This window comes from Homo sapiens, chromosome 9 (assembly GCF_000001405.40).
Source record: "Homo sapiens chromosome 9, GRCh38.p14 Primary Assembly".
NCBI classification, from domain to species: Eukaryota; Metazoa; Chordata; class Mammalia; order Primates; family Hominidae; genus Homo; species Homo sapiens.
In genome coordinates, this window is record NC_000009.12 from 132,188,759 (window position 1) to 132,202,796 (window position 14,038).

Here is a 14,038-nt window from a genome sequence, read left to right on the forward strand (position 1 = left end):
TCCTATGACAACCCTGTGAAGCCAGTGCTAGTAACCTCATTGAGCGTTCATTCATTCTCCGAAGATTTCCCGAGTCCCTGAGGAGGGCCGGGGGCTGGGGCTGGAGTGGGGACAGGATCAGATGTGGTCGCTGCCCGCATGAAGCCTCCCCTCCAACAGAGAAGCTGAGGCTCTCGGGCAGGAGAAAGATCTTTTCCTCACCCATTCTATGTTAGTGGCTGAGGGCCCATCATAACAGACAGATTAATACCACCAAAGCATACCAGTGGATTTAATATAAGTTTTATGTGAAAAAGGCTTTAAGCCTTTCTTTTTTTTTTTTTTTTTTTTTTTTTTTAGACAGGGTCTCACTCTGTCACTCAGGCTGGAGTGCAGTGGCACAGTTACGGCTCACTACAGCCTCGACCTCCTGGGCCCAAGGGATCTTCCTATCTCAGCCACCCAAGTAGCTGGGACCACTGGTGTGTGCCACCATGCCCGGCTAGTTTTCTTTTTTGTTTTTTGAGGTTTTTTTCTGTAGAGATGGCATCTCCCTGTGTTGCCTGGCCTCATGGGAGCTTTCATAAGGAATGAAGACCCAAAACATTGGTGAACATCTATTTTGTATGCTAGGTTTAATGGAGAAATAGTCATGGAGAAGTACGATTGGCTTAAAAAAAAGGTATCATCTCCTGGTGATAAACTGGCGGGAATTTTGCAAGACCTGTGTGTCCAGGTCCCTCTCTGTGACCCTGCATCTTTGGAGATGAGAATGTTCCTTCCTCCGGGCATTGGGAGGGCACCTCTCGAATGAGCCTCATGTCCTGCTTCAGGGAAGAAGGGCAGGGGAAGGTCAAAGAGTAACCTTCCGCTTCTGTGGTTTTCTCAAATCCCTTCAGCTTAAAAAAAATTTTTTTTTTGAGACGGAGTCTCACTCTGTCACCCAGGCTGGAGTGCAGTGGTGTGATCTCAGCTCACTGCAACCTCTGCCTCCCAGGTTCAAATGATTCTCGTGCCTCAGCCTCCTGAGTAGCTGGGACTACAGGCACGAAACGCTATGCCCAACTAATTATTTATTTTTTTTAATTTTTAGTAGAGACAGGGTTTCACCATGTTGGCCAGACTGGTCTTGAACTCCTGACCTCAGGTGGTCGGCCCGCCTCAGCCTCCCAAAGTGCTGGGATTACAGGCGTGAGCAACTGTGCCCAGCCTAAAATATTTTAAGAAGGTTTTAGCCTGTAATCCCAGCACTTTGGGAGGCCGAGGCGGGCGGCTCATGAGGTCAGGAGATCGAGACCATCCTGGCTAACACGGTGAAACCCCGTCTCTACTAAAAATACAAAAACTTAGCTGGGCGTGGTGGCGGGCACCTGTAATCCCAGCTACTTGGGAGGCTGAGGCAGGAGAATGGTGTGAACCCGGGAGGCAGAGCTTGCAGTGACCCGAGATAGCGCCACTGCACTCCAGACTGGGCGAAAGAGAGAGACTCCATCTCAAAAAAAAAAAAAAAAAAAAAAAAAAAAAGAAGGTTTTAGGGTAGCATGTCCTGGGCTTCATTGGGCTCAAGGAAATTGGGGGACTCGCCCAAGCCTGTGGAGCTGGGGAGCTGCTGAGGGAGTGAGCCAGTGCATCCCTCCACAAACCACAGAGCCCTGCCCGGGACACCCTGGCGATTTCATCCCAACTCTGAGATTTCATCCCAGCGCAGGCTTGGGTGCAAGGCCAGCTGCATGACGTTGTCTGTTCTTCTTCCTGAGACTTGGTGACCATTCCAGTGACCGCCCCTCCACGGCCTCCTTAGTCAGGGGCCTGGAAGTTCAAATGGCTGGGCTTCCCACAGGCACATTTACCTCCATTCTTGCTAACAGTTCACTTTCCCATTCAATTATGTTTTTTGCCTGCAGCTTGCCTATGATGTTTACAACCTGGCCTCTGACTTTGACTGTACCCTTTGCACAGAAAATAACATAAAAGGAAAAGCATTTAAGTGCCCATGACGAGGCTTGAAAAGCATGGCATGAAATGGTTTCTCCATAGAATATTTCATGCCAGGAGCTCAGGCTTGGCATCTGTGTAGGAGGCTCCTCCTCACCCGGTTCTCTGGTGCTATGGGCCTGGCTGGCTGCCTTCCCTTCCCTCTGCCCACCCTCCTTTGACTTCTAGCCACACTGCCTGACCTTTCAGGTGACTTGCCTATGTGTGTCCAGAGAGATAGGAAAGCTGTAGACATGATGGGCTTGGTTTCCCCAAGATTCCTCAAGGTTGGGTCCCGTGGAGTCCAGGGGATGGGTAAGTGATGTGCGGCCATGGGTACTTAGTGTCTTATCTGAGACGTGGAGCTGACTGTAGCACCTGCCTCCTGTGGGTTGCTGAGAGGGTGCAGGGAGGAGCGGCTGTGAAGTGCCCAACCCAGCCCGGGCACAGGGCTGGCACTCAGTGAATGTTACAATCATCACACTCTTCTGAGTCAGCCGTTCCCGGGACAGTCCACGCCATGAAGTTCCAGGGTTTCTCATGCACAAGCCTGGTGGTCTCAGCCTCATCCCTTCCTCCTGTGGAAGGTTGCTGGGAGTGGAGTGTCCCTGAGTTAATACGAAGCTGCTGTTTCAAAATAATCGCTCCCATTTGGAGACATTTCCTAGGGATTCTAGGTAATGTGAGACACAGACCATCTCACATGGCAATCAATAAGAAAATAGAGACTCAGAGAAGTCAAGTGACTTTGTCAAGGTCACAGAGCCTCAAAGGAGAGAGCTGAGAGGGAACTCAGGGCTTTCAGACGCCAGGGCCCAAAACTGTATGGAAAATGGGTATGTTAACTCATCTTTCTTTTTTTTTTTCTTTTAGACAGAGTCTTGCTCTGTCGCCCAGGCTGGAGTGCTGGAGTGCAGTGGCGCGATCTCGGCTCACTGCAAGCTCCACCTCCTGGGTTCACGCCATTCTCCTGCCTCAGCTTCCTGAGTAGCTGGGACTACAGGCGCCCGCCGCTACACCCGGCTAATTTTTTGTATTTTTTAGTAGAGACGGGGTTTCACTGTGTTAGCCAGGATGGTCTCGATCTCCTTACCTCATATCCACCCGCCTCAGCCTCCCAGAGTGCTTGGATTACGGGCGTGAGCCACCGCGCCCGGCCATTACCGCATCTTTCTAGAGAAAATCCCAAGACTCTTTTTAAAAATCAGCGGTATGATTTTTGTTGTTGTTTTAATTTTCATGAAATATTTAAAGAGGCAGCTACTACTTCTGATACTATCAAAGGGCGGCTTTGGAGCCATGCTGAAAGGCTAGAGGTGTGCCTAACAGTCTCTCCCTATATTAGGCCACTTTGTTCTGACTGCTGTTTTTGTGATTAGTTGATCTGCTGTCCTGGAGATGGGTGGAAACGCGCAGACCCAGAGGAGGCTGGCAAACCTTCACCCCCACTCAGAGGAGACACTCCCAGTCTCAGCCCCACCCCCATGACATTATCAGCTGTCAGATGCTGACTGGGGACTGGGGTGGGGGGACTGGGGTAAACTGGTCTTCTAATACCCCGGTGGGTCCCCAGAATTCCCCCAGTGAAGAATAGAAGGTCCAGGTGCAATGGCTCACGCCTGTAATCCCAGCACTTTGGGAGGCCGAGGTGGGCGGATCACCTGAGGTCAGGAGTTCGAGACCAGCCTTGCCAACATGGTGAAACCCTGTCTCTACTAAAAATACAAAAATTAGCCAGGCGTGGTGGCGCACGCCTGTAGTCCCAGCTACCTGGGAGACTGAGGCAGGAGTATCGCTTGAACCCAGGAAGTGGAGGTTGCAGTGAGCCGAGATTGTGCCACTGCATTCCAGCCTGGGCCATGGAGCAAGATTCTGTCTCAAAAAACAAAACAAAACAAAACAAGAATAGAAGGAAAGTGAGAGGAAGCAATACTGTGTTTGTAGAGGAAAAGGAAGGTCAGGTCAGCGCCAACAGTGCCTTTGCTGGGATGCTCCACACTCCTGACCAGCTCAGTGGAATTCTGAGACCTTGGGGAGCAAAATCAGAGGGGGACAAGGAGAAAGACAGAAAGAGAAAGAGGGAGAGAGAAAATTGTGTTGGCCGCGGCTCGGGATTTATTTATTGTACTTGCTGTTGACTGAGCTCGCTCCACAGCAGGCGAGGGGCCTGTAAACACACAGGCTGATTCATTAGTTTCTGACCATCTGCTTCCCGGGCCGGGGCGGGGGCCGGAGTGCCCCATAGGTTGGAGCAGCCAGCTTAGAGCCCCCATCTCCAGCCAGAGCCAGCTGTGTCAGTCTTCCCAGTGACAGACAGGCCGGGTGCAACTGGGGGCTTTGAGGGATACCCTGTCCCCCGCCACAATGCCCCCACCCCATAGAACCCATCAGGGGCCTGGGCAGGGCAGGGCTAAGTAAGGCAGGAAGATGAAGAGAGACCAGGGAAAAGGTGAAGTGTGGGTGGCTCAGCAGTTGGGGATGACGGGAATACTATCAACACTCAATAGGAGATATGTCAATATCACTGTCATTTTATTAATAGCTTATTAATATGATGATAATAATAATAAGTATAATTGAGTGAGTGGTTACTGAGGTCCAGGCCCAATATGCAGGCCTCACTACACTGTCCCCAATAAGCACATTAACAACTCTATGATGGATGATGAGAGAACTGGGTTCAAAGATTGATTCAAGTCAGGAGGGCCTCCTGGAGGAGGCACATGTGGGAGGGCTCTGAAAACCAGGAGGACAGACAGTGGCCAAAGGAGCACAGGCTCTGAGGTGGGAGGGGACGAAGTGGCCTGGGAAATGGCACAGCTTCAGTGCTGGGTTGATAAGAGCTTTCTGGGTAGGTGACGCAGTGTGACGCCACTTGGTGCCAGCGTACTGAGAAACCAGGCTGGTGGAGGAGACCCCAGAGACATCCTCTGGGGAAATAGGATGAAAAACTCCCAATTCGTCTCTACCCCTCTGAGCCATTCCTCCCGGCCTGTTCCCTCTTTGCTCACCTGGCATGAGGCTTGTCTTAGTCAGCTCCGGCCACCATAACAAAGTAGCACACGAGACCCAGGTGGCTTAAACAACAAAAATGTCTTTCCTTGTTCTGGAGGCTGAAAGTCCAAGATGAAGTTGTTGGCAGGTTTGGTTTCTGGAGAGGCCTCTCTCCCTGGCTTGGAGCCAGCCGCCTTCTCACTGTGCCTTCAAACGGCCTTTTCTCTGTGCACATGGGCCCCAGCGTCTCATCCGGCAGCCAAACTTCTTCTTCTTCCAAGGCCACCAGTCAGATTGGACTAGGGCCAACCTGAGGGTCCCATTTAACCTCAATCACCTCTTGAAAGAGAATCTGTCTCCAAATACAGTCCCATTCTCAGATACTAGGGTTAGGGCTTCAACATAGAAATCTGGGGGACACCATTCAGCCCCTAGGAAGTCCCCAGGGGCAGCAGAAGCAGCACTGGGACTTCAGGAAGGGAGTGATGGCTGGGCTGGGGGAAGGGGGGCATGTGCCTGGGTGCCAGAGCCCAGGTGCAAGTTCTTGGAGCATCTGCCCATCACTCCTCCTCCCGAGCGGCACAGACAGAGCCCATTCTGCATCCAGGCTCACAGCACCCTTCCCGGCTGCTGGCTCCCTCACGGGTCAAGCCTGCCTCCTCCAGCCCAGCACCTGCTACCCACTCAGGCCATTGGGCCATCCCCACAGCCTCTCAGTCCCTCACCATTCCAGGCAACAGCACAGGACAGGGTGTGTCTTGCCCAGAGTCACCCGGCCAGTGAGTGAGGAAGCTGGGAACCCCCCCGCCCCATGTCCCTCTGCTGTCCTGGCATGGTGGGCTTGCCAGTGGTGTGGATATCTCTGATGATAACAGCAGACTCCTCCTCAGAGGTGCCATCTGCTCTCGAGAAGGCTGGGGCCAGTCCTACCCTGGCCCGGGCCTCAGTCCCCCCATCTGCTTAAGGAGATATTGGACTCTATGGTGAGCTCCTGCCACCCTGAGGTTGCATAGGGGCCTGAGGACAGAGCTATTTTGGTCAAAGAGGGATTTGTGGAACCTGCCTCAATGAACCGAGGGTCAGCCCTGCCACCGAGGAGCCCCAGGCAGCCAGGGGACCTGTCCTTCACCCTAGAGGATAGAAGCCCAAAGGCTGCGGCTGCTGCAGTGGCACCTGGTGGGGGCCGCGGGGCTGTGGCTCAGCCCCTCAGAAGGCGGTGGGCCCCATTTCCCCCATGGGGGCCAAACAGCTCATTTGAGAGTGAGAGGTTTTAACTTAGATCCAAGCCATTTTGTGTCTGAGCAAACCAGACACCTGAAACATGCATCAGAAAGGGCCACAAGTGGTCCGGAGCACTGGGTGGTTGTTAGTGACAGTGTTCGTTTTTTTCTTTCTTTCTCTTTCTTTCTTTCTTTCATTCATTAATAGACTTTATATTTTAAAGCAGTTTTAGATTTACAGAAAATTGAGCAGATAGTACAGAAAGTACCTAAAACCCCATGCCACCCTCCCCCACCCACCATCTTTCCCTGCCTATTATCCACATCTTGCATTAGTGGGGGATATTTGAGGTTTTGGGGGATTTCTCTTTTTTTTGTTTTCGTTTTTGTTTTTGTTTTTTGAGACAAAGTCTCGCTCTGTCGCCCAGGCTGGAGCGCAGTGGCGCGATCTCGGCTTACTGCAAGCTCCTCCTCCCGGGTTCATGCCATTCTCCTGCCTCAGCCTCCCGAGTAGCTGGGACTACAGGCGCCCACCACCACGCCTGGCTATTTTTTTTTTTTTTTTTTTTTTTTTTGTATTTTTAGTAGAGACGGGGTTTCACTGTGTTAGCCAGGATGGTGTTGATCTCCTGACCTCGTGATCCACCCGCCTCGGCCTCCCAAAGTGCTGGGATTACAGGCGTGAGCCACCGCGCCTGGCCTTTGTTTTGGGGAATTTCTTTAGAGACAGGGTCTCCCTCTGTGATCCAGGCTACAGTGCAGTGGTGCTGCATAGCTCACTGCAGCCTCAAACTCCTGGGCTCAAGCAATCTCCAGCCCCAGCCTCCCAAGTAGCTAGGACCACAGGTGTGCACCACTATGCCCAGCTAATTTTTAAATTTTTTTTTGTAGATACAGGGTCTTGCTGTGTTGCCTAGGCTGATCTTGAACTCCTGGCCTCAAGTGATCCTCCCACTTCTGCCCCCCGAGTAGCTGGGACTAGAGGTGCATGCCACCACACCACACCCAGTTTATTTTTTATTGTTTGTAGAGACAGGGTCTCTCTGTGTTGCCTGGGCCGATCTCAAACTCCTGGGCTCAAGTGACCCTCCTGCCTCGGCCTCCCGGAGTGTTGGAATTCCAGGTGTGAGCCACCATATTAGTCATGTCTGATGAACCATTGTTGATACATTATTATTAACTAAAGTCCATAATTTACATGAGAGTTCACTTACTGTGTTGTACAGGTCTATGGGTTTTTTTGTTTGTTTTGTTTTGTTTTTGTTTGTTTTTGTTTTTGTTTGATACGGAGTTTCACTCTTGTTGCCCAGGCTGGAGTGCAATGGCACGATCTCGGCTCACTGCAACCTACGCCTCCAGGGTTCAAGTGATTCTCTTGCCTCAGCCTCCCCAGTAACTGGGATTACAGGCATGCACCACCACGCCCGGGTAATTTTTTTGTATTTTTAGTAGAGACGGGGTTTCTCCATGTTGGTCAGGCTTGTCTTGAACTCCTGACCTCAGGTGATCTGCCCGCCTCGGCCTCCCAAAGTGCTGGATTACAGGTGTGAGCCACCGCGCCCAGCCTGGGTCTATGGGTTTTGACTCATTCATAATGGCATGCATCCACCACTGCAGTATTATACGGCATAGCCTCACTGTCCTAAAAATGCCCTGTGCTCGGCCTAGTCATCCCTCTGACCCTGGGGACCACTACGTTAGTGACATTTTCAGATCCCTCTGGCCTGTTTCCATCAGTGACACTTCTCACACCAAATGTATGGGTTTTCCACACCAACAACCTAGTCTCCAGCTCTCTGGACACCACTGGGTGTCCGATGATTCCGTTCAATTGTAACACTGCCCAGAGCTGGCGTCAGAACCCTCAGGTGAAGGGCTCAGTCGCACCACACTGCCCCCACCTCTGACGCAATTGCAAGTTCCTGCCTCCCGTACTTCTGTCCAATTGGCTGTAAATTGGGGGTTCCCACGACCCCTCCCTCAGGTTTGATAGTTTGCTAGAACAGCTCACGGAACTCAGAAAGGCATTTTCCCTACATTTACCTGTTTATCAAGTTCAGGAACAGCCAGATAGAAGAGACTCACAGAGTAAGGGATCGGGGAGAGACCCAGAGCTTCCAGGCCCTCTTTGAGCACCTCAATGTGTTCACCAATCCTAAGGGTACAGGTAAAAAGGCTCAGGGGCCGGGCGCAGTGGCTCACGTCTGCAATCCCAGCACTTTGGGAGGGCAAGCCAGGTGGATCAACGGAGGTCAGAGTTCGAGACCAGCCTGGCCAACATGGCGAAACCCTGTCTCTACTAAAAACACAAAAATTAGCCGGGCGTGGTGGTGCATGCCTGTAATCCCAGCTACTTGGGAGGCTGAGGCAGGAGAATCGCTGGAACCTGGGAGGTGGAGGTTGCTGTGAGCCGAGATCGCCCCACTGCACTCCATCCTGGGAAACATAGCAAGACTCCATCTCAATAAAAAAATAAAATTAAAATTAAAAAATAAAAGGCTCAGGAAGGTGACTCAGCTAAGGAGATATTTAGAGAGTCGAGAATGTGAATGGGAATTTTTGAGGCGGACAGAGTGGAAGGGCACATGAAGGAGACAGAATGCCATCTGCAAAGGCTCAGAGGTACAACCAGGCAGGGGCAGGAGGACAGCTGTCCCGGGGAGGCCCAGGCACACTGTCACCAGGTGTGGGAGGGCAGGTTGGGGTTGGTATATTACAGAGTCAGGACTCTGTATTCCAGGCAACGGGGAGCCATGGAGGGCTTCAAAGCAGGGGACTAACACCCAGCCTTCTTGGTTGTCTGTATTTAGAGCAAGGACAAGTATGCATTTTTTCTTTGGAAGCCATGGGATTGCACACCTCTGCACGCATTGAGGAAATGGGCACAAATCTCCCAGCTGTGTCTGGGCACCGGAGCACAGGCCCTGTAGCCACAGAGCAGGTTTCTCGGTTCGCAGGCAGGGGCTAGGCCGCGCAGAGGCTTCCCAGGCCATCCCGAGCATCCAGCACCCACCCTTCCCTTCTCCTCTCCCCGCTGCAGGAGAATCCCTACCTATGCAGCAACGAGTGTGACGCCTCCAACCCGGACCTGGCCCACCCGCCCAGGCTCATGTTCGACAAGGAGGAGGAGGGCCTGGCCACCTACTGGCAGAGCATCACCTGGAGCCGCTACCCCAGCCCGCTGGAAGCCAACATCACCCTTTCGTGGAACAAGACCGTGGAGCTGACCGACGACGTGGTGATGACCTTCGAGTACGGCCGGCCCACGGTCATGGTCCTGGAGAAGTCCCTGGACAACGGGCGCACCTGGCAGCCCTACCAGTTCTACGCCGAGGACTGCATGGAGGCCTTCGGTATGTCCGCCCGCCGGGCCCGCGACATGTCATCCTCCAGCGCGCACCGCGTGCTCTGCACCGAGGAGTACTCGCGCTGGGCAGGCTCCAAGAAGGAGAAGCACGTGCGCTTCGAGGTGCGGGACCGCTTCGCCATCTTTGCCGGCCCCGACCTGCGCAACATGGACAACCTCTACACGCGGCTGGAGAGCGCCAAGGGCCTCAAGGAGTTCTTCACCCTCACCGACCTGCGCATGCGGCTGCTGCGCCCGGCGCTGGGCGGCACCTATGTGCAGCGGGAGAACCTCTACAAGTACTTCTACGCCATCTCCAACATCGAGGTCATCGGCAGGTAAGGCCGGGGGAAGCCCTGGATGTCACCTGCAACCTGGGATGCTATCTGTTACCTGGGACGTTATTGGATACCTGGGATGTTACCTGGTATGTGGAACATGACCGGGTTCTTGGGATGTTACCTGGTTCCCTGGGCGTTACCTGGTATGTGATACATCGTTACCTGGTTCCCCGGGGGTTACCTGGTATGTGATACATCGTTACCTGGTTCCCTGGGGGTTACCTGGTATGTGACACATCCCCTGGTTCTTGGGATGTTACCTGGTACCTGGGACATGACCTGGTTCTTGGGATGTTATCTGGTACCTGGGACATGACCTGGTTCTTGGAATGTTACCTGGTACCTGGGACACTATCTACTTCTTGAGATGTTACTTGGTTTCCAGGAGGTTACCTAGCACCTGGGACATTACCTGGTTCTCAGGACATTACCTGATATTACATCATAGGGACTGCCTAGGATGGCTGGGGCTGCACAGACCCAATGCCTGAGCTTTTCCACGGAAGAAGGTGCACATGTCGGAGGAAGGAAGTGCATGTGTTGGAGGTGTGGAGGGCAGGAGTGGAGCCTGTCTGGGCAGAGCTGGGCTAACTCCTGGTGCTGACTGTGAGAAGTGCTCTGAGGCTGTCCACTGACTCAGTGAATGGGCTCTCATGTTCAGGGGTTTCCGAGACCGCCCTCAGGCTCCATGATTCACTAGAAAATCTCACAGAACTCAGCAAAGCTGCTATATTCACAGTTATGGTTTATTACAATGAAGGATACAGATTAAAATCAGCAACAGGAAAAGGTGCACAGGGCTGGGTCCAGGAGATACCAGGTGCAAGCTTCTCATTGTCCTCTCCCAGTGGGGTTGTGCAGGCAGCACTTGATTCTCCCAGCAGTGACATGGGACAATGCTTGTGAACTATCACCAGGCAGGGATGCTTACTGAAGCCTCAGTGTTCAGAGTTTTTACTGGGAGATGATGGTATAGGCATTGCTGATGATCTGGCTGGCCTTTGGCTCCAATCCCTCCAGAGGTCGAGCTGATACTACATGGCCCAAGGCATAGGCTCTCTGATGTGGCCCAAGACCCGCAGGCAAACATGGACACTCTTCCTAGACAGGACAGTCCAACGGCTTATGGATTAGAGGTCACCTAGCAGAAACCAGGCCGGAGTCAGATCTTTCTTTGGAATGTGCAGGGTGTGGACAACCCAGGCCTGCTGTGGCAGCTCTTTCTTGCCCAGCTCTGGAGAGGAATGTGTTTTGAGGAAACTTTGAGGAAGGCAAAAGACTGTCATAGGAGATGAAAGCAGCCTTTACCTCCCAAAAACTGTTTAGACTGTGGATGATTAAATGGTTCTGTGTTGTCCTGGGTCATTTGTACTTTTGGCAGATAATATGCCAGTCTGTGGGGGCAATGCCATCTACCCTGGGCCATCTGTAGAATGGGGATGGTAACAAGCATAAGTCTCTTGCTGGATTGTGGTGAGGGTTAAATGAGTTAAAGTTGATGAAGCACACCGAACAGTGCCTGGCACATAATACGCACTAAAAAAAAGTGTTTAATAAAAAAATTGGACAAAATAATGGAGTGAGAGGGCTGGGGCGGGCTGAGGGAGGAGAGAGTTGAGACCCAAGGGTGCTGGGGCAGTCCGGGCCAGGAGCCTGGCTTAGGCAGGTGCAGGCAGGGGCTGCACCTGGGGAGCCCAGCTGGGATGATCACTGTGGGCATCTCTCCACTGCAGGCTTTCAATGTCCACCCAAATCTGTAATTCCTGACAAGTGGAAAAAGTGATTTGCCGTATGGCAGGTAGAGCATAATCCTGTTTTTGTAAAATATATAATATGCCTTGTATATCATTTCTGCGTCTTGAACAGACATTGGCTGTAAGTGTGTACAGGACCGGGAAAAACATCATGGGTTGGGGAGAAAGGCTGGAAGCCCGTTTGCCAGCCATGTGCTGTGGTGATGCCTGTGCCGTGAGGCTGGGCAGGCCGCTGTGGTGCTGCTGTTTCCAGCTTGTATTTGCATTTTGTTTCACTTTGACGGTGTGTGTGGATTCCAGGTGGGCAAAGGCAAAGGCAGGTCGTTCATGAAGCTGGAGTCAGCTTCAAGTCTGGCAGATGGGAGTGAAGCAGGTGCAGACAGGGGCCCGTGGTTCTGACACCCGTGATCTCTAACCCACCTCCAATTGGGACAGGATATTCAAAATCAGGAATGTTCTGGAAACCACCCCATATATAGGCACTGTTGTGGAACTGGTGTCCAGACTTTCAGCCCCTGGGCATCTCCGTGACCTCTGCCCTCGGGATGCAATTGTCTGGTTGTTACTAGACACCTGCCAATCCCTGCAGTCCCACTGGGCTTAGCAGCTCAGGGCTGGGAACCAGCTCCCCAGGCCCTGCAGGCTCCTGGCTTGTCTTCTGACCTTGGACTGCTCAGGGAAACCCTCATCTTCAGGCAACTGTTCAAGGACCCTGCCTTACCTTTCATAAGGTGGCTCATGTGGGGCCCTCATGTCTGGGCCAGCTGTAGGATCCAGACTGGGACTGTGATGCTCAGGGCCTGGTGGTGCCCCTTCAACCCCAGCAGGGTGACCTGGGGTTCAAACCCTGCCTCTCTGCATCCTGCCTTGATTTCCCATCTGTGACAAGAGGCCTGAGGCTGCCTGGAGCCCATGTCTCCCTGGAGGTGGTTCCGCTTGGCACCCAGCCTCTGCGGGCGGCGGGGAGGAGCCGAGGTGGTGGCGAGAGTGTACAATCAATTCAGAGAGAGAGTAAACACTCTTCAGGCGGCAGCTTGGCTTGTCGTTGAACTCGGTTGGGTTAGACGGTTCAGCGAAGGACTGAGGTTACCTCCCCTTTTCCCTCTTCAGTTCCGCTGGGAAAGTCCAGCCATGCTGAGAAGCCAGAGACACAGGACTGGTGGCAAAGGGGGATGTGGGACCCGAAGTTCCTGAGTGGGCACCAGGGACCCCTGGGGGTTCCCAGGCTCTGGGATTTTACACCGATCCTGTTCTGGGGATTCCCTCAGAATTTCGTGACTGCCATGTTGCCCAGTGGCTCCGCTGTGGCCCACTAACAAGAACAGCAAACGTTTATCGAGCATTTGCTACGGGCTCATTTGCTATTGAGCGCTGTTATTAACGGCTTCATGTGTATTTTCTTGTTTAATCAATAGCCGTTTAATTCCCCAATGGTTATTGAATGGCTCAGATCCCACAAGCCAAAGACACGGCACTGAGCAAGCCAGACCTGATCCCCACCCCCTGGAGCGCTCCCCGCGGGGGCAGCGCTCCCCCAGCCTCGTGTTTTCAGATGAAGAAGCCAAGGACTCTGAGGTCAGAGAATAGAAGGAGATTGCACAGCGCCACTACATGGCAGACAGCTAACATCTAGACACAAGCATGTCCAGGCTCAAGACAGACTCAGCCACCGAGCTGTCCCTAGCCCTGGCCCGGTGGCTGCCTCATTTCTGGTTCCAGCTCTGACTTGAGCCCACCTGGAGCTCAGGTAGCCTGTATGATGGAGCGATCCCACGGGACTCCCCTTTGAATTGAAGGTTCTTTGATGGGTGGTGGCTCCCTGCTCTGCCACTCAAGTCAGTGATTTCCAGCTCCAAGGGGGACCCCAATGGCAGGCAGCAATGTAGGCAGGAGGGGGAGGACAGAGGCACCTGGCTGCAGAGGAGGAGCTGGAGCAGCTGCAGCAGCTGCAGCCAGCCCAGGGCCCTGGGAAGGAGGGACTGGTACAAATGGTGAGGGGGACAAGAGGTGGGGACAGACTGAGCTGCAGCCCCACAGGGGGCAGGTGGGCTGCCGGTGGCTCTGAGAGAAGCACAGGCACCCGCAAGTCCCAGCCACGCCCCCTCCCTGCCTCCCGCGGAGCCTGCTCCACGTGCCCATTCCTGGAAGGCAGGCAGGGGGTGGGAGCTATTTTCTCCTTCCACACATGGGGAAACTCAGGTGCGGAGCCTGGAGAGTGGCTGGCTTCAGACTGTGCAGCAAATCTGGGGCAGAATCTGGATTTGAGGAGGAATGAGATCATCCCTTTATGGTGCTTGGAGCGGGAGGGGCCTCCGCCCCCACCCTCCACACAACCATTAAGAGAAGCGGGGCCCAAACCTGACCCAGCATCTCACAGGAGAACCATTTAAGACAGGGTTCCCCAGCCCCACCACTGAGAGCTTTGGGACC

The 14,038-nt window shown here is 53.3% G+C and overlaps 1 protein-coding gene across 22 annotated transcripts in view; it reads left to right on the plus strand.

Annotated features, from left to right (window-relative positions):
* The window catches only part of NTNG2 (netrin G2), an 82,838-nt gene that overhangs the window by 27,070 nt on the left and 41,730 nt on the right, over positions 1 to 14,038 (plus strand). For all 22 annotated transcript variants that reach the window (XM_011519096.3, XM_017015213.2, XM_047423970.1 and 19 more), the window contains one exon: positions 9,208 to 9,851. In XM_011519096.3, the coding sequence (XP_011517398.1) occupies positions 9,208 to 9,851 (644 nt within the window). The remainder of the gene's footprint in view (positions 1 to 9,207; positions 9,852 to 14,038) is intronic.